The sequence below is a fragment of the Homo sapiens genome, chromosome 6 (genome assembly GCF_000001405.40).
Source record: "Homo sapiens chromosome 6, GRCh38.p14 Primary Assembly".
NCBI classification, from domain to species: domain Eukaryota; kingdom Metazoa; phylum Chordata; class Mammalia; order Primates; family Hominidae; genus Homo; species Homo sapiens.
This window is the reverse complement of record NC_000006.12, coordinates 90,631,048-90,652,643: the sequence shown is the minus strand read 5'-3', so window position 1 is coordinate 90,652,643 and position 21,596 is coordinate 90,631,048. Positions and strand designations below refer to the sequence as shown.

The 21,596-nt window shown below is 37.0% G+C and overlaps 2 long non-coding RNA genes across 2 annotated transcripts in view; both read right to left on the bottom strand.

Moving 5' to 3' along the window:
• The window catches only part of LOC107986623 (uncharacterized), a 324,476-nt gene extending 303,228 nt beyond the window's left edge, over positions 1-21,248 (bottom strand). The window contains exon 1 of the long non-coding RNA XR_001744259.1: positions 21,068-21,248. This is a non-coding gene — a long non-coding RNA (uncharacterized LOC107986623). The remainder of the gene's footprint in view (positions 1-21,067) is intronic.
• LOC105377893 (uncharacterized) lies at positions 9,960-10,905 on the bottom strand. Its single transcript, XR_942782.2, has 3 exons — positions 10,798-10,905; positions 10,282-10,438; positions 9,960-10,024 (listed from the first exon to the last, which is right to left on the bottom strand). It is a non-coding gene; the product is annotated as an uncharacterized LOC105377893 (long non-coding RNA).
• Positions 21,249-21,596: the final 348 nt, after the last annotated feature.

Here is a 21,596-nt window from a genome sequence, read left to right as displayed (position 1 = left end):
GCACTCCAGCCTGGGCAACAAGAGTAAAACTCCGTCTCAAAATAAAAATAAATAAATAAATAAATAAATAAATAAAAATTAAAAAATCAAAATGCTAACAGAGTTTGGACCCAAGTGAGAGTATGCCATTGTAAGCTGAGATTGGAGGAACATACTAGGTTATCGCCCATCTTTCCAGGCATCATTCTGAAACAGTTGGGCCAACCACAGTCTTATTACTAAGTCCTTGTGGAATGCAACTCTGATCAGCGTACAGTCTGGAAGAGGAGAATTTTTTAAATGTCATTTACTATATCTAACACACTTGGAAAGTAATTAAAATCTTGTTCTTGCATTTATTTTTCACCCCACTGCGGGATGGGGAAGGAAATAAGTTTATACACATGACAGCTATAGTCAGCAAGGTCAGGTTGAGCCAGGAGGATGAATCATTGGCCCTCAATGCCAGGCAAAAAGCCACCACCCAGCAAACACAAGGTACCAGAGTTAATACCATGCAGTTCGCTGTCCCCCCTTCCCTAATTTCCCAGGCTGTGAAGGCCAAAGGGTGAGACAGTTCTCTAAAGGTAGAGGTGGAAATGACAATAGAAGAACATGTAAAATCCTTGAGATACATGTCAAGGGAAGGGTATGCATATAAAGGGGAGGAGAGAGGACATAGTTCTTCTTATACATCTGTTAACTTAAACACAGCCTGAGAAGCCATCACCTGATTTCCTAGAGCAAAAACAAAAACAAAAAAAGCCAGTTGGATCATTCTCTGCTTGGTCTAGTCATAAGTAGAAGGAAGATTACAGGAATGAGTGATGTCACAGTTTCCTCCTTCTGCATAGTCGGGCCATGGATATATACGGTAACAACTGTATGAGGTTAGCACTATTACTAGCCCCACGGTACAGAATGGGAAACGGGAAACAGGCTTGGAGGGGTTAAGCACCTTACCCAAGTCATGCAGCGAAGTGGCAGGTAGCAGACCAGAACACAGACGTACCTGATTCCACAACCATGTTTCTTAACCTGTCTATATTGTCACACAGCAGCTCTGCTCTAGTAAGGGAGCAGCAACATGCTTACTAGGGCTACATTTGGTTACTGAGCTTTGGTGACTATGCAGCCCAGTGCATTTCCTGATTACAATGACAAGTCAGATTCTGTTGTCACATAGAATCACTTTTTGTTTGTTTTGCAGAAAATCCATGGTTCTGGGCTAAATTCATGCATATTAAATATTTAAAAATTTAGTCATTGACCTAAAAGAGCCCCACATTAAGTCACAATGGGTTTAACTTGGCAGTTGTACTCAGGATTAAGATTCCCTTTGCAAGAAACTAAGCCTGAACATAGAAGTTGCTGCTAGTAAAAGACACATTACCGCAGTTTTATAGGGTCTCTGAAAATGATCAAGTTGACTTACAAGATAAAGATTTGCCAGACTGATATCCTTGGCAATGCACAGCTCCTTGTCTAAATTTCCACAAACATATGAAAATAGAAAGTTTGTGGAAATATAACTTATTTAATGGACCAGGCCAACTTATTTGGGTAACACAGTTAATAAAATGTGTTTTCAGGCAGCTGCTCTCTGCTATATTCTATTACAGAGCAAATTGTTACAGTTACCAGGCAAACCCCTAGAATAAAAAGCAAAAGGAGTCAGTATGCTCTCCCAGAATCATTGACATAACCTGAGCTGTAACGGTCCAAGTATATAGTTTCTATTCACAATTACAGACTCTCAGAGACATCCATGTACTCCACATCTATGTTTCTGGAAGAAAAAACCTCTTCTTAAATTGATTTGCCCTTTGTCACTGTCACAGATATGTTTTTCCTGTTTTGACAGGTAGTTGTAATTCTATTAGCAGCCCATCGACTTCCCTGTGAAATCGATCTGTGTTGGGCTGGCTGGGTCTTCCTAAACTGGCTGATTTATTGCTTCTGCATGATTTTAGAAAGAGAGGGCACGTGCATACTCGCAAGTGAGCTAAAGAGTCAAGGGGTGGGAGAGGATGAGGGAGAGGAAATCAGACACTCCTCTGTCACCAAACAGTATGAAGTATCTAAACAATGTTTTAAAACAAATTATTTGTAGCCTCACTGTTGGCTGTCTCCATGGCAGGTGAGCTGCGACCTTTTGTCAGCAGCCTAGCTGAGATGGCTGCTGATGCCTGCAGGTATAAGTGACTGTCAATTTTCCTTACTCATTTATCTTGCTGTCGCATGTTTAAACTAGAAGAAGTTGTTCATCTCAAGTGTCCTCAATGTCAATCTATCATGTTTGCCTAATTTTGCTCTTGTACATCACATCTCACAGTCACCAGAACATGAGTAGCTGTCTCCAGGTGCCTCTGTCTCTGTTATCTTGCCCACTGAAGGGAGAGCACTTAAGCCAATTTGCAGGAGACCACAGTTTGCCAGAGGTCAGAGACAGAAATCACCACTGCATTTTGTTTAAAGAATCACATCAGAAAAGAAAATAAAGGACAGGGAGGGAAAAGAAGGGAAACCTAATAAACACGCCGGTCCTAAAGTTTGATTCCAAGATTTATGACAGAATCAGGCAAAACTAAATTAAAATAATATCTGTGAAAACTGGACAACCTGAAAATAAGTTGATTTTTCCAGAGACCAAAGAACAAATCATTGCACAAACACATACCTTTTCAAACTGAAAATGATTCCAGAGTTAACTTCATGGACCTAAATATGAATATTAACATCTCACAAATACTATTTGTAATTTTATCCTTGAGCAGTATAGTGGAGAGGTGACTTCTAAGCAAATTATTAGTAGGAAGTAAGGTTAAGTGGGCATATTCCACTTTTACATCCTTTCTTCTCCATTTATTTACTTCCTGTATGTTTAGGGGCTTCCACCACCCTTATCCTCTGAAATAACACTAGAGCTTTTGCCATTTCCTCTACCCAAAGCTTCTCAGATGTTGGACCAGCAAGGCGATCAAGTTTGTTGTTTGTTTGTTTATTTGTTTGTTTGTTTGTTTGAGACTGGGTCTCACTGTCACCCAGGTTGGAGTAGAGTGGCACGAGCTCAGCTCACTAAAGCCTCCACCACCCAGATTCAAACTATCCTCCTATCTCAGTCTCCTGAGTAGGCCTCCTCAGCTGGGATTACAGGTGTGTGCCACCACGCCGGCTAATTTTTGTATTTTTAGTAGAGATAGGGTTTCACCATGTTGGCCAGGCTGGTCTCAAACTCCTGACCTCAGGTGATCCACCTGCCTCAGCCTCCCAAAGTGCTGGGATTACAGGCATGAGCCACCATGCCTGGGTGGTGATCAAGTATTTTAATATATCATGAAGTAATAGGTTTCATGTATTAACTCTCTCAGTAAGATTTTTCATTTTTACTGGGAATTTTTATGAGCATAATACCCTAACCCAAAATAGAGACTCATGGTGAGAACTGTGGGCACCAGTGAAGACAGTTCAGAAGATATTTGTTAGCAAGTGTACCACAGGGCAGGGGATATTTGTTAGCAGGCATACCTTTCAATGGCCCTCAAGTGGTAGCCCTAGAATGATGCAGGTTCTACACCACAAGCATCATCTCTGTCTACAGAACCCTGTAGAAACTGATAGTCTTGTGCTAGGCTGTGCTGTACTATGTCAACTTGGTTAAGCTGAGAACCCCGAAGCTTCCAGGTTAAAGTTGGCCAAAAGAGGAACTTGTGTGAGATTTGGAAGACAGAGGTAAAGCAACAGCCTTGACTCTTGGAAAGTAGTCACACACTTCTCCCTGGTCCTACTGAGGCAGCTGCATGTGCTTGCCTTCTCAGATTAGGCAACATAGATTTCCCTGCCAGCTCGCCCTTATCCATCATGGCCAGTACTTCAGACATACTGGCTAGTGACTCCTTCTCTGATCCTCCAACTCCTCCTCTGGACCTTACTTCCCCAGTTCCTCCCACATTTGTGTCATATCTAATTCCTATAAGAAATCTCTTATTTCCATGATACTCATAGGGCCTCTGCTTGCTGGCTGAAGCCTGGCTGATACAGTCCCCTGCAGAGAGCTTCAGAGAAGGCATAGGCATATCTTACAAGGCTGTGCACAGGTGCATGAATCATCGCCAAAAGTTATCTCGTGTTACAAGTACTAGAATCAAACTTAAACCTACATTATATGTCTGAGCCTCTGATTTGTGTTGTGTATGTGAAATGTAACTTACAATTTATATTTTCAAATTTTTTATTTTATCATTTTTAAAGCTGAACTTGATTTTCAATATGTGCTCTCTATATACCAGCTAAATTAATGAGGTTACAGACTCAAGTTTAAAAAAACCAATCACTAATAGAGCAATCATCAACAATCACCTTGAAACCCCAAGCTAGATAGATCATGTTATATCATATATCCTCTTAAGTAAGGGTACTAGGCCATGAATATTTACAGTTTCTGATCAAAATCAATATTATTCCTAAGTCAGAGATTGAAATGCTCTACATCTCAGGACAGAGTGGTCAGGACAAATGCAGACCCCAAAGTGTGTCCTACATGAGATTTTGAACAAGTTTTTTTTTTTTTTTTTTTTTTTGAGACGGAGTCTCGCCCTGTCACCCAGGCTGGAGTCCAGCGGTGCCATCTCGGCTCACTGCAAGCTCTGCCTCCCAGGTTCATGCCATTCTCCTGCCTCGGCCTCCCGAGTAGCTGGGACTACGGGTGTCTGCCACCATGCCCAGCTAATTTTTTTGTATTTTTAGTAGAGACGGGATTTCACCGTGTTAGCCAGGATGGTCTCGATCTCCTGACCTTGTGATCCGCCCACTTTGGCCTCCCAAAGTGCTGGGATTACAGGCGTGAGCCACTGCGCCCGGCCTTGAACAAGTATTTTTAACTTAATTACCTAGCACATATGAACAATGGGCCAAAGGTCTAATCACATTCCCACTAAAATCAGTGTTTAACTTACAGCCCCCAGGTGTCATAATAACAGGATTGAATCAATTATGTATCAACAATGATGCTGATCAGAATTAAGTATATCATTTTGAGTTGTTCAAGTCTAATTCTACTAAAATCATGTTTTGAAACTCAAGCCTTATCTAAGTGTATTAGTCTGCTAAGACTGCCATACAAATACCACAGACTAGTGGCTTAAATAAATAAAATTTATTTTATCACAGATCTGGAATATGAAAGTCCAATATGCCAGCAGGGTAGGTTTCTGGCGAGTCCTCTCTTCCTGGCTTGCAGGTGACGTCCTCCCACTGTGTCCTCACATAGCCTTTTCTCTGTGCATGCGTGCTCCTGATGTCTCTTCTTATGACACCAGTCCTTTTAGATTAGGGCCCCACCCTTATTACCTCATTTAACCTTCATCACCTCCTTGAAGTCACCATCCCAAATATAGTTACATTGGGAGTTAGCACTTCCACATATGAATTTGGAGAGGATACAATTCAATCAATAACTGCAAGAGATACTGACAAAAAGAAAATTGATTTGAATACATGCTTTATACGTCCATGACTCAAGGTTGAGTCATATCTAATGCTCATATGCCAAGCAGAGATGCTATCCACTCACAACTGCTATTAAACTTTGAAATGACATTCACAGATACCAATTTCTAATTTTTTTTTTTTAATTTGGAAATGCTTGTGATGGGTGAAAGGAGGGGCTGAGAAAAGGGAGAAGGAGTGCACAATGCCATAGGAAGCAAATTTGCAAAGAAAAGTAGAAAGTCAGGCACTGGCTAGTAAGTGGATGGCATAGGGTTACAAATAGATAATAAGGAGGACCTGGAGATGTAGGAAAAGTAATCGTGTATGTGTACATATGTGCACGCATGCTGCTTATAAAACATTAGGGTAGAGGAATTGAGAGGTAAACATCAAAAGATATAGACTAATCTGCCTATAGATGCTGCCTTTTGGCCAGATGCTCACAACAAGTCCATTCAGATTTGGTTGGGGGCAGGGTCACAAGTTACAATGGCAAGGTAACCACTCATAAGAAAGGTGTGAAGACTACAATTGCTCTTAAAGGGATACCTGTTTCCGGCATTTACCGTGGCATGATAACAAACTGGAACTCCAGGAGGGAAGAAAAAAAAAAACTGTTTCCATGAATTTTACCCCATTTACTGTAAGATTGAAAAAAACAATATTGGCCGGGTGTAGTGGCTCATGCCTGTAATCTCAACACTTTGGGAGGCCGAGCGGGGGTGGATCACCTGAGGTCAGAAGTTCAAGATCAGCCTGACCAACAAGATGAAACCCCATCTCTACTAAAAAATACAAAAATTAGCTGGTCGTGGTGGCAGATGCCTGTAGTCCTAGCTACCGGGGAGGCTGAGACAGGAGAATTGCTTGAACCTGGGAGGCGGAGGTTGCAGTGAGCCCAGATTGCACCACAGCACTCCAGCGTGGGCAACGAGTGAGATACTGTATCAAAAAAAAAAAAAAAAAAAAAAAATCAAAGAAATGCATCAGTGTGTACCACAATGAGAGAATTCCAGCTGCAATTTTTTCTTCAGAGTAAACTGATTTTTTTAAATCCTACCTTTAAACTCTTTGAAGCTAGAAAAATAACTGTAATATGCAGAGCATTTCTTGTTTGCTGTTAATATCAAGTGGTGATAGAGTGCTCAAAATTGCACAAGCCATACAGACAAAGAACAATTTCCACCTTCGTGAAGCAAAAACATTTTTAAGAACATAATTCAATAGCACAAATAAAAGAAGCAAACTTATCTCAAGTTGCTCAGGAGTCAGATTACATCTGCAAAATCAAAATTATATTACAATTTCCTTGTCTGATTTTTAATTTGCTCTAAGCCAAATAAACATGAGTAATGAGAAAGAAATCTCAGCCTAGGAGCTGATGACATCGTAAACCATACAAAGGACACTTGGTTGGTTTCTGTCATAACATTCCATCATAAAATCACACCTGCATGAAAAAACTTTTCTTGCCGGTTTCTGTCTTTTCCCCTCAAAACAGCCGTCCCTGCCAAGAGACATTCAGTTCAGTGCCTAGGACTATCGGTTGTTAAGGCTTGTCAGCAGTCAGAAATCATTCAAATATATTTCCTGCACCTTTCCAAAGCTATAAATAAAAAGTTTACACTAGCTCCTACTGAACAAAAGGATTTGGGCTCAAATGACAGCAGTCAGGATTTGGGTTAGATAGAAATGAGTATTTGGTGATAAAGGAACTTAAGACCAGAAAGGGTTATATTGAGAGAAACTAGAGCCCCCTCTCTGAAACTATTTGGAAACAATATATATTTTTCTCCAGGGTCTCCTAAATCAAGAGCTCAGGTAAGTGTAGGGCTTTTTGTATATTAAAAAATGATACCCACCCATTGGTTTATTAATTATCAAATCCTACAATTCTATGATTAAATCAGAAAAGGACCACAGGGGGACTCTCAGTCCTCATTCCTATTCTTCCACGAATGGGAGTCTTTTCACATCTTTATTGCTATTTTTCCGTCAATCAAAGTCACCCACAAATGTCATCATTAGTAAGTTGGTAATAGAACTTAAAGAATAATAGAAATATTTTAGGTTCCAGTTCCAACATAATTCTATAAGCTCTATGATCTTGGACACAATAAATCAAGTACTCTGAGCTTAAAATTATTTGTGAGTAAAATAATGTCTTTCCTACCTACATCATAGGCTTACCATAAGGGTCACATGCAATAACATCTGTAAAAGTGCTTTGCCAACTGTAAAACATTAATCAATGATGGTGTTATTATCATATATGACAAGTGGGCTGTAGAATCACATTCAAATCACAGAAAAGAAGATTTCTGTCAGTTAATAGGAATATAGAATGCAGATGCAGAGAATGGTATACAAACACCAAGATGGGGCAGGGAATGGAAACCAACTAAAATGTTTACTCAAGTTTTTCTTGAACAGATGGAAACCACAAGGTCTCTGCCATACCTCGTCTTCTCTGGGTCTCCTGTGTTTTAGGAGACAGCTTTTTCCCCCTCAGTTTTTCAGTCGTTGAGGCAGCTTTCTACCACTTTTTCTACACTGAGAATCACTGTGTTAAAGCCTGCTGACATCCAGCTCTCAAGAGTCTAGACACTTGTTCCACCTTAGAGAACAAAGAATATGAATCATGATTCTCTTTAGTAACCTGTCTTAGGCCCATGAGAGTTTAAATTTAAATTCTGAACGTAGGCTGGCCTGTCTTTGCTCTGTGGTGCATTGTTAATGTAGAAGACTTTAAACTTTTTGAAGGCAGTGACATGGCCTAAACTTTCTTTTAAGTAGGCAATAACCACAAACTCAAAGATATCAGAGAAAGTCATATAGAAATTCATATAGAATCATAGAGTATTTATGCTACATGTTTGTCATAATAATTAAAATTACTTCAAGGTGCCTGACAAAATACAAAAACCCTAAATAATAATTGCAAAAACAGATAAGTGTTTGATGACAGATATGGAGAAAAGATAAAGTGTAGCAAATAAGTTCTCTTTTCTTTTGAATCCTAATGTAACAGAAATAAATTGTGAAGTTCAAAGAGGCATTCACATTTCAAAACTCAGCCAAATTTTACCCAAGGACCTAACCAAGTATGTTATGGTTTACTTTGTGGCTGCCTTCTTCACAAAGTCATGGAATCTATTTTTATACTTTGACCTGTAAAACAATATAAAGTTTGAAATTGTACTTAATTTCTCCAGTAATTAAAAGTGGCATTCTTAAAACTGATCTGATATTGTGGTAGCATAGATGATTCAGTTCTTAGATGTACAATTTGTAATGAAGATATTTGAACCCCAAGTGCTCAATTTGTCAATTGCATGTAAGTAAACCAAAAAGAATTCAAGAGTTAATTTTATATTTAATAGACCAATTCAGTTCTTCAATTTCCCATGTCTGTTCTGGTGTATAATTTTTTTTTTATCATCTTACAAGTCATCCCTCCGACAGAAGTCTGGCTTTGTCATTTTGTTTTGGTTTTTCAAACATTGCGGTTATGGCCTGTCCCTTATTGTAACATGTGTGTTCCTGAAAGCCAGTAAACCAACCTGTACTTATGGTGTGTTGGGCTTCACACTCTGGTAGGCTGTGGCAGACACAGAAGGTGGTCCCCACACAGAAATCATTCAAAACCAAGCCTATAAATAAATTTAAGTGGTAAATCATGCCACAGAATACAAATGCTCTTGGAAACAGAGGCAAGAACACTGACGTTTGGAGTGGTTCAGGATAATCCCCCTGGAAGACAGGACTTGAGTTGGTATTTGAAACATGACTTAGGATTCAGAGGGAAGAGTACTAGATTTTCAAGGGGGGTAAAGATCATGATTAAATTCTGAGGGGAAATCAGTCAGAAGTCTACTGACTGTATATCAGGGATGATGTTAAAAAGTAATGATGGATTCATTTGGCTAGGTAGAAATCATTTTGTAGAATCTTGGTAAGCTGACAAACAAGGCAGACTTGATAGGCAAAAGGAAGCCATTAGGTTAGTTCTTGAAAGATGTGCATTTAAGGAAGCTTCAGGTGGTAATTATAAGCATAAGATTGAGTGGGAATGACACCAAAAGCCGGGACATCCATTTGGAGACACACGAATCACAAAGAATCCCTTCAGAATAATGAAGGAACATATATGACTCAATATCTGGAAGGGAATCCGCTGACTAATTCAAAGTCCTTCTTTTTTCAGAGGTAGAAGCTAGGACTTAGAATGATTATATGGTTTGTACAAGTTGATCAACTTCCCAGTTAGCAACAGAATCAGGACTGAAGCCTAAATTTCTGGACACCTAGAAATTTTCACTGGAGAAATTTTGAAGAAAGACATTACAGAACATGATAATAGGCAAGTTTACCAATAACAATGAGGAGGAAAAGTCTAAGCTTACCTCTACTGCTTAGAGACTAGAGGTGGGTGTCTTAGTGCCACAGTTAATTGTGAGAGAGTTAAGAAAATTATCTTGGGTGAAAAACTGATGAGTTCGAATTAGATTAAGCTGGATTTCAGGTGATGGTAGAATATCTAGGTAGACATGTCCTACAACAATTGGAAATAAGGACATGCTCAAGGCTGACAGCACAGTTCTATAATTTCTGCCCAGGACTCTCTCCAGAATTCCAGTATCAGCATATATCAAACCACTCATCTGACACTGGACCTCCAATTTAGACTGGCCAAAACTAAATTCAATATCTTTATTTTCTATCTTGGTTAGAATCATGATCCATGCCTTTCATTTTCACTGGACAAATATTTGTTATCACTGAAGTCAGAAACCTGGAACTCATCTTTACCTCTTTCTTTTACTTCATTGACTGCAGCCAATCAGTGACCAAATCCTAGTTGATTTTTCCTCCTTAATATTTATGACAATAGTCTCTTATCTGGCTCCACTGTCTCTGGCCTGGATCCCGTTTTAGCTTTCTTCCATATAACTATTATAATGATCTTCTGAAATGCAAATCACATTATCATGTTATACCTGTACTTGTAATTCTTTAATTACTATTTTCATAGTTTATATAGAGCTTAAGCCCCTCTCCCCTATAATCGTACCCTTATTTCCTTCTCAAGAGTTCCAGCCAAGAAGAATATATGGAATTGTCTGAATAGTCTATCTTGTTTGCATCTCAGTATCTTTGATTGGGTAACTCTCTCTACTTGAAATCCCTTCTCTCCACATCTCCCCTATTATACGCTACATTCCTTCTAGCTAGTGAACAACTGTCTATATTTCAATACTGAAACCAAATATGACCATCTCTACTTAACCTTTCCTGATCATCCCTCACTCAGTAGAATTAACCAACCTCTTCTTTGTGTCTTCTTTGTACAAAACCCATATCATTGTATTGCAAGAGTACTTGAATGTCTATAATGTCTTGAATGCCTCTTCTAGACTGGATAGCCTGTGAAGACAGAAACCTTACTCAGTTTACCACTGTATCTCCTGAAAGAGATCCTGATCCACAGTATGTACTTCATAAGGGCCTGCATTTATGCATTGTGAGAATTCTCTGAATAAAAGCAACACTTGAATGACACCAGAAATGTAACATTTCCAAGTGGGTTGATTCAGAGACCTGGATGACAGTTAAGGTCCAAGGTCAGCTAAAGAAGCCATAAAAAAAGACAATAAATGACAAAATTTGGCTGGGTGTGGTGGTTCCTGCCTATAATCCTAGCACTTTGGGAGGCCAAGGCAAGAAGATAGCTTGAGGCCAGATATGAAGAAAACCCCGAGCAACATATCGAGACCCCCATCTCTACAAAAATTAAAATAAAAGAATTAGCCTAGCATAATGGCACATGCCTGTAGTCCCAGCTACTTAGAAGGCTGAGGCAGAAGGATCCCTTGAGCCCAAGTATTCAGGGTTACAGTGGCTATGATTGCAGAAGAAAAAAATTTTTTAAGAAGGAATGGGAGAAAATCAAGGAAACTTCTTTTAATTATCAAAAGACATTTGTATTACTATTACTACACCATTGAAAAACTGAAGACAATATAAGCCTCCAAAATAAGGCACAGCAACATATTGTTTTGAGAGAATATTATGATGCCAATAAGTAGTTTAAATGAAATATAGGCAGATAAATGCTTATATAAAACAATGCTAAATGAAAAAGTAGAAAGCAATGTTATAGAACTCATTGATCACAACTATATAAAGATATATGAGCCCAAATTAAAAAGCAGAAGATGGAATAAGCATAGTTGCTGTATTAAAACAAAATAATTCAATAGATTTTTCTGAAATACTTATATGTTTCATTTAAATGCTTAGTATTTAAAATAATGGGTGTTAGTATTGAATTCAATTAAAAAATTCCAACAGTTATTTGTAAGTAAAATTATACCTTAGATGGGCTTGGTAATTACTACTCAAAAGTTCATAGCACTAGTTCCTTTTATAAAAAGAACTGAAACATGTGTAACAAAAATTATCAAGCTATAATGTCTTTGCTTCATACGTTCAAATTTTTATGTTTTGTGCTTTGTTTGTTTGTTTTTAATATGATATACCTGCACTGACTAACATAGTGTTATTGTATGCTTGTAATGGTCCTGTCTTTAAAACACAGATCACTGGGACTTGACTTTCTAGTTCCTTTTCTGGACTAAAATTTCCTAATGTCCTTTATAAGTCACATGCATGCTAAGTCAACCAATCAACATATATGGAAGCTCTAACTATTAGGAGTAAATGTGTTCAGTACACCAAGTCCATTTATTTCTAATCAGACACCTACCCAGAGTCATCATTACTTCCTTGAGATATCAAGGATAATAGAGTGAAGTTTGGGTATAGATAACAGATTTAAATAAGGGCGCCAAATTATAATGCTCCAGGCAGGAAAGGTAAATTAATGAATCAAATTAAGCTTGAGAGCACATGCCTATCAATAAGAGAGTAGTAGTTACTCAATTTTGTGACAAGCTGCTTTGAAGAAATGCCAGCCCAATATTGCTGGAGCTTCGTATTAAGCAAGAGAGTTTAAAATCTAGATTTGTCTGTGAAATCTCCTCATTTTAAATGACTGCTGAGTGAACTATGAGACTAGAGAGTAATTGAGGCCCATAGCCCTAGCTAGGCCTAATTACAGTAATGGTCAAACATTGAAGGTCACAGCTTGAAGATAGATTTTATTTTACGTATGCAGTGTTTTTAATAATGTTGAGCTTCTGCTCCCTTTCAGGCACTGAGTGAGGCAAAAGATTAGTGTGGGTTATTAAGAATGCAGTGATCATATAGAATGTCCCTCTGGTCACTCCCCTAAAGAAAGTTCACAGAGAAAAACCAGGAAGGCCCAGTCAAAAAACTGTAAGGACTGGTTTGTGCAATATCATAGAAGCCAGAGACCACAGAATTCTAGTGATAGAATTGAACACTGTTGTTAGAATTGGAACTTGGAAGTTATGGGTGACATTAAAGGGAGGCATTTTGATGAATCCTAGGACACAGGTAGAAGAACGTAGAGGAGAGAAATAAATGGGAGAAGAGGAATTAAATGCAGCAAATATGGACCACTCTTGTGAGAATTTTAAATAAGAAGGGGAAGAGATAGATTAGATGGTAGCTATAGGGTAACATAAGGGAAGAATTTATTTTAAAGATTTTTAAGGATGATAAAAATTTAAGCAGGTTTGTAGGGCAAGAAGAAACCATTAAAGGGCAAGTGATTGATATAGAATGAATGTTGAAGATTCAGGAGACAGAATGGAAGAAACTGGCGGATGCAGCAGCAGCTATATCAGGGCCCAGATGGAAACAATTGGTATTCAACAGGATGAAACAATCATTATCTTATAAGAATAGAGAAAATAGTATAAAAGTTGAGTGGAGATGGGAGGCAAGTGTCTACATGGGGTGGGGGCAAGAAAATGGTGTCAATTTTTTCTCAATACTTTTCTCTATAGAGTTGTGATGGACCACATATGAGCCTCAAAAACTTATCTTTCCATCCAACTAAAGTCCATGGATTCAGGTTCACACTTGCTTTCTCTTAAGCCCACACCCTGAGATTGACACCATAGATCTTACCATTTCTATAGAAAGAGAAGAAAGCAAAATGCATAAATTTTGATTTTCTCTGACACTAAACTAGAATTGACATAAAACACCTAGCCTGGGTTTTCTTTCCTAATTGGCCATCCTGGAGTACCAGCGTTGGTACAAGTCACCCCCAAACCTCATCTGCTGAGCATGATAAAGAAAAGAGAGCACTTTCAGAAGAAAGTTTTCAAAGAGATCCAAGAGAAGAAGAAATAATGTCCAGTTCCAGAACTTTCCACATCCTCTATACTGCTTCTACTAAATAAAGCTCAAGCTTTTAGTGGGAGAATCTTAGTGGGATTTTAGTTTTCCCATAATTAATAAGAAAACCTTTTCCCTGGAAAGGGACAAGGAGCATAACATATCGAACTGCTTGACATATTCACTCTTTGAAATAGTTAATTTAAAAGTATCTTTTCAGATGAAGATTTCCAGGTCTGGAAATAATGACATTCGCCTGAATCCAAATCTCTCCACAAATGCTCTTTTAAACAAAATAAGTAAAATTAACAAGGAATATAAACAAAACTGCACACGGCCCATCTACATTGCTCAGAGACACAGAATGCCATGAACTTAAAATTACCATAAGTAAAGAAATAAACACCACATTTCAACAAAGCTCCCCAACCATTGCAAGCTTATGAATTTGAAGAGTGAACAAGGGGAAGCATAAGAGACTCAGTGAAAAAGAGGAGGGGAGAACAGAGGACTGAAGCTAAGCACAGACAAAATTAGAAAGAGAAAGTCCAAGACCAAGTCATAAAATACTGAAAAACAAGACTTGGTAATTCATAGCACCAGCTGCAGGGAAGGGGCTTAGAGGTAAGTAGGATAGAGCATGAAAATATCCAAGAAGCACACTTCTATGGGAGAATCACATAAATAGAGAAAAGATGGTGCCTCTGAGAAGCATGGCCCCTTATTTCTTGAAGAAAAATAAATAAGGAAGAAGAAGATATTAAAAACTCTGCAGAAAAAAAGAGAAAAAGTAAACACCAATACCTCCACTACCAACATCATTGATTAAAGAGATTGCACATTACTATACCTCAGGAAAGGCACTTTTGAATTCGGAACCCTATCCAAAATATGCCTCAGAATAGAAAAGTTAAGGCTAACTCCACACAAAGCTACTGTACAAGGAAAAGAGATAATGCATTTCAGCTGATGAAAATTCTTCCCCTCCTCTCAAAAAGAAAAGCCATGAGATAGAAGAGTATAATACAATACTCCCAGCTGAATTAAATAGCATTAAATGAGCATTTTGAATTTTTTTTAGAGACTAAATGTAAAAATTCAAAATCTAGAAGCCTTTTTTAATAAAATGAAACTTGCAGGGAAAATATGCATAGGAGGTGATTAAACAGTGATTAAACACCGAAAGAAGTTGAAGTAAAAGGCAAACCATCTCAGAAAAGAAGAATAAATTACATGATGCCCAAAAGAGAATACATTTACATAAATATTTAATTAGAGATGTCAAAAGGGAAGAATGACAACCAAGAGAATGAAAATAAGATTTTTTTTAAAAGGAGTAAAAGAGAAAAATGCTTAAAAGAGAAAATAGAGAGGAAGGGGGTCCAACATACATGTAATAGGAGTGCCTGAAGAATAAACACAAAACAATAAAACAGAACCAAAATTTGTAAATATAATCAAGAAAAACTTTCTAGAAATAAGAGATAACTTAAATGTCACAGTTAGGAATAGTGACCCCTACTTGTAAACCCAACACTTCAGGAGGCCGAGGACAAAGGGTCACTTGAGGCTAGCGGTTTGAGACCTGGGCAACATAGCAAGGCAACTCTATCTCTAAAAAAATTTTTAAATATTAGCTGGGTGTGGTTGTGCATGCCTGTAGTCCCAGCTACTTGGGAGGCTGAACCACGAGGATCCCTTGAACCCAGGAGTTTGAGGCTGCAGTGATTTATGGTCATGCCACAGCACTCTACCCTAGGCAACAGAACAAGACCCTATCTCAAGCCCCTCCAATGCCCCCGAAAAAGAATATCCAACTGTATACATGGAAAAACTGAATAAAATAGTCCTTCTAAAATGACTGGGCTTTATAAATAAAGAAAAAGTAAACATGCAAGAACACTTGGAAAGTATTGAAAGAAAAAAGCTATAAGAGGGTACGAGCCCTACTAGATGTTATAATGTACTATGGAACAGTGTAGTACTGGTGACTGAATAGACAGGCAGACCAACGGACTAGAATAAAAAGTCAAGGAACAAACTCAATTATATATGAACATTTTTTTTAAAGAAATGTGATAAAGTATTTGATAAAATATTTTATAATGGTGGTTTCTCAAATTACTGGGGTAAAGATAAATTGAATGTTTTAATAAATTGCTTTGGAACAATTAATAGCCATTGATAAAAGATAAAATTTAATTCACTCTTGACACATACAACAAAACAAAATGAAACAACATAAATACTAGAAGAAAACACATTAACTTCTATAACCTGGCTGTAGGGAAAGACTTAATAACCATGACTCAAAATCTGGACACAATTCAAAAAAATTGATATATTTAACTACATAAAAATAAAGATATTTTCTTGACATAAAACACCACAAGCAAAATCAAAAGACAAATGCCAAATTGGGAGAAAAATCTGTGAGATATAGTGCAGAGAAAGAATTAGTATTTCTGATATAAAAAGAAATAATGAACAAAAATCCTATAGAAAGGTGAACAAAAGTCATGAACAGTCAACTCACCAAAAAAGAAAGACTTAACAATGACTCTAACCATATGAAAAAAATGTTCAACTTTACTCATAGTAGATGATAAAAATTAAAATTATACTGAGATACCATGTTTCACCCTTCCAATTGGCAAAAATTTAGAAGCTTGACAATATACTCTGTTGATGAGGTTTGGGAAGAAAATCACTCTCATACAACACCAACAGGAATGCAAAATGATATAACCCTTATAGAGAGGGCTTTGACAATATCTAACAAAACTGCATACATATTTGCCTTTTAATCCAACAATCCCATTTCTAGGATTTTACCCGGAAGTTGCACCTCTAACAATATGAGGTTATTTATTGCCACATTATTTGCAACTAAAAAATATTGGAAAGTACCTAAAAGCCCTAATGTAAGAGATTGAATGAATTAACTATGGCACAAACACACAGTGAAATATGATATAACAGTGAAAAGAATGAAGAGAATACGTATGAACTGATACGGAGTAATTTTTATGTCAGTACAAAAAATGTATATATAGTATGCTACCTTTGTATAAAAAGGAGGGAAAGCAGGAAACATAAGAATATGCTTGGCGAGGCTTGGTGGCCCACGCCTGTAATCCCAGCACTTAGGGAGGCCAAGGCGGGTGGATCACCTGAGATCAGGAGTTCAAGACCACCCTAGCCAACATGATGAAACCCCATCTCTACTAAAAATACAAAAATTAGCCCAGAGTGGTGACGCATGCCTGTAATCCCAGCTACTCGGGAGGCTGAGGCAGGAGAATCGCTTGAACCCAGGAGACGGAGGTTGCAGTGAGCCAAGATCACGCCATTGCACTCCAGCCTGGGCAACAGAGTGAGACTCCATCTCAAAAAAAGAAAAACAAAAACAACAAAAAAGAACTACGTATTGCACATACTCCTTCAAACATATTCCTTAACTTTTCCTCACAAAAAATAAAATATTGTCTCCCAATCCCCTAGAAGGCCAAAATGGAAGAGAAAAGGAGATGGAACACAGGGAGCCAAACTATGAGGGTTAATGAGAGAGGAGTCAAATTCCCTCTGTTGTGGCATAAACCATTCAGTTGCAATAGTGAAGGGCACCAGAAGAGAAAATCATGATCCTCTTCCGCAGAGAAATTAATTACTTTCTTAGATTTGAAACCTTTCCAGTGAAAATTTTCCTGTTGCCCAGAAGCACCTTTCTAATTAATGATCTTTAGTTTCTCAGGTAAGCTCATGCTACAAAAATCCCCTCTCAGCTCTTTAAGAGGAAGAGGCATTTAAGGCACGAACTGCAGGCTAATAGGAGAGTTCCATGGAGGAAATGAACTGGCAGTTGGAGTTCATGCATGCTACTCTCATGCATGGAGCCTTAGGATGAGGGGCCACAAGAATCTTTGCCCCCTAGCTTGGTGGACAGGAGTATGTGCTGACTCAAGGCTCCAGTGCATTCTTGAAAAATCACTGCACAGTTAGCTTCTAAATTAGTGAGAACAATTGTAAAGATCAATAGAAAACACCAAGCTCTAAAGACATTTCCTACAGCATAATTTGAAGAAGTAGAATACATGAAGCAGTGAGCCATAGAAAATCAGGTCTTAGAACTAATTAGAAAATTTCTAAGCTTTCTCTCTTAAGAAAATCAGTTCATTGGTTAAGGGGCCAATTTGAAACATGGTTGGTTTACAGATTTTCATCTGGACTGAAAAAAATTACAGCCAGATATTTAAACCAACATTCTAAATAAAATTGTGAAACTGATTAATTACTTACTGTTAATAAAATTGTAATGAAAAATCGATTATTCACTAGTAGTTAAAAGCTGTTTTCCATATGTCAGAATAAAGAAAACCTATAAAGCAGAAAAAAATAAAACACCCACTAGAGTTTCTTGTTTAATCAGAAAAGGGGGAAAGAAGCTTAATACTGTGTCCCCAGAAACATAACTTCCTCCCTTAAGCCCTCATTTTATAACATTTACTTTCAACAATGTAATAAACGTTTACCTCATGCTTAACTATGAATACTAACTAGCAAGGCAATCTTCTTCTCTTATAGCTTAATCCCATCTGACCCAGAATAGAGATGACCCAAAGAGCTATTCGATGTTTATCTATATGTGTGTATGGCTTTTTTCAAGTAAGTAGTTTAGGAGTCATTTTTGCTCCCCCTATCAATGGAAAATCCTGCTGAACTTCATCCAGATTCACCCATCTCATTTGATTTTTGTATGTTTGGTTCAACTGTTCACACTGATGTGACGTCTCAGGCATCACATCAGTGTGAACAGTTGAACCAAACATACAAAATGCCCTGAGAATCCATCTGCCAAAAACTATTCTTTTAAATAGAAATAAGAAAATAAACTCTCCTTGAGCAGATCAGTTGGGCCAAGATTTCTCCTCACTAAAAGGGATACACCGTGTAGAAATAGACCACCAGGGTGTTAGCTGACTCACCATCTTTCTCAAAGGATTGTCACAACTCCTGTCCTGACTATTGTGAAGGTCACTCCCAATAGTTCTATCTTCCTCCTGCCCATGTACAGATTCAAAAGGTGGTCTAATGTGGACTTCTTTCATCTCAGCCTTCTTCTATGCCCAGGTCACATCCTATACATATTATCTTAAATTTTCACTTCTATATTTGCAAAGCTAAAATTCAACTTTATTTTTCAATTGTCCTTTTTTTTTTTTTTACTGTTTCCAAATTCATTGTATCCTCTCATTTGTTTAAGACAAAGTAGGTATTATCTGTGTTTTATTTTGCCAAATTTTTAATGTTACAAGAAAATATATAAATATAAAATCAGAGAACACATAAACAAATAGGAGTTATAAATATATGTTAGGACTAACTAAATATCAGCAATATCACTAAATATTCTAAAGTCATATGAAAAATTTCCTGCTACATGTTGGGCAGACTGGATACTAATACATCCTTTTTATTATATAATTGAGTATATTTGTTACAGAAAAATTAGGAAGATACATATAAGCCTAAAGAAAATGAACACCTCCCTAATCCCACTGCTTAAGATGACCACTGTTAACATTTGGGGTATGTCCTGTTTGATTTTTCACATTCTTATACATGTCATATTTTTCTTACAATAGTGGGACTCACTGTATCATCTTTTTTGCAATGTGCTTTCTAGGTCAACAAACATAGATTTGAAACATTATTCTTTATGGCTGCATTTTATGAATTTTATGAATGCCATAATTTTGTTATCCAAATCTTCAAAGATTTTTAGATACTAAACCTGGATCCATTTGTTGCATGGAATTTTGACTTCATGATTGTTTTATAATAGTTAATGCACACTGACCAGGTTCCACCTAAAGCCCAAGAATGTATCGGAATATCAGCAATAATGTTTAGCTCTTAGAAAAACCACACATAGTAATGTGAAATCCAGCTAAATGCATTTTGTATTGAACTACAGCATTTAGTTCCTCGGTCTCGTCTATCAATTAGGGTGATAAGCAGGCACTCAGAAGCTAGCTTTTCAATTACGTTTTCTACCTTCAACTGAAATGTTCCTGTCATTGCATATCGTGTAGTAATTTTGAAAAGGCTTCATCTTAGCAACCAAGTGATAACTTTAAAATCAAGAATCTGAACCAATTAATTCCTAACATTAATTACTTCTTTTAAAACAAAAGACTCTTTAAAGTAAGTGACTGCAAATATACTTTTTATCCCACTAACGGTCCTTATCTCTTTTTCCCTCAGCTCACAATTCTGTTGACAACTCATGCTCAGTCTCAAATCATCATTCAAATCATAATTAAAGCATAATTCTGAGCTCTCTTTGTACATGCTAATTCCAAAACCACCAGATGTAAAAGCCACACAGAAATTCCTATAGAGTATTATTAGCTTGCAAGGAGCAGAATTAAGATGCATAAAAGTATCTTCTATAGCAAGTAAATATTTTGGTTTTAATTACATTATTACCTTGTTTTATGCTACTAATTACAATTTATTGCATAATTGACTCTCAGAGAAAAATATTAACAGAGCAGTTCTGCAGTCTTAAACTGAAGATAGTATATACTAATGATTTTGCCTAACTACTCACCTCCCTTAAAAAAATGCGAAGTATTTTTTGTAATAAGTTTGATAAATCTCTTTCCTATTTTTGCGCTAATATATAAAGTTAGGTACTACAGTTATTTGCTGATTTATTTCTCTATAAATAACAGGACAATAAAAAATTATGTTATTGAGCTGGGGACAATATATTATCTGTCTTTATTCCCTAGCACCCAGCTCAGAACTTGAAACTTAGTAGGTGCTCAATAAATTTTACTAAATAAAGTAATGAGTTAATTATTTAAAGTGATCTTTTAACTTGACATCATAAAAGTAGTATTACTTAATACTAGCTAGTGTCTATTTTAGCCTTTACAGATTAAAAACCTACAGCCTTTAGAGCAAAAGACTGATTAGAAATAATAACAGTTTGCTGTAGATTGAAAACAAATGAGCTCATTCTGAGACTGGACAGTCATTCATAAGCCACTTGAGCTGCCTGTCCTCTGGCAGTTTATGAACTCAGTCAAGACTTTCCAGTGAAATAAAGCCTTGTGTTCACTCCAGGGCCATCTATTGTTCTCTCTGTAATTTGTACCAAATTTTAAAGGTTATAAATATTTGCAGCGAAGCCTAGTTGCTGAGCTGCATTCATTCACACTTAGGTGCCTTTTATTATTATTATTAACTACAAGACCAGGGACTGGCATTTGCTTACTTCATACTTATTTCATAATAACTTGATCATACGTACCTGTGAACTCAGGATGTTCTTCAAATGCCATGATTTATTAGGTCCTCTTTGGTCACATAGCAGTCAACCTTGTCAAATGCAACTAGGTCAACCTCATTCTCCAAGGAGTAGTAGCTAGCAGAAAAAAGTGAAGAGTTATTTCTTATATGAAACTATATATACTTGAATTCTTTTTCAGATTGAAAAAATTTTCTGGATAAATTATACTGCAAATGACAATGAAATGAATGAAAATAAGCATAGTTAAATATATAAAGTTTTTCTGCCCCCCACTTCAAAGCCTATTTCCGTCTTATTGTTGTGCTTTTTCATTAATTTCTCTTGAACTAATGTGCCCTCTAATGGTTAAAATAAAAATATAATCAGAACCATAAAATAAGTGCCAACTTATTAATTGCAAGAAATATTCCTACTTAAAAGATACTTCTTTAACTCAAAACTATGCCTTCAAGATCAAAATGTATGTCTTTTAATAAATAACAAGAAGAATAAGCATTTTATTTTATTTGTTCTATGCAACAGACCATGC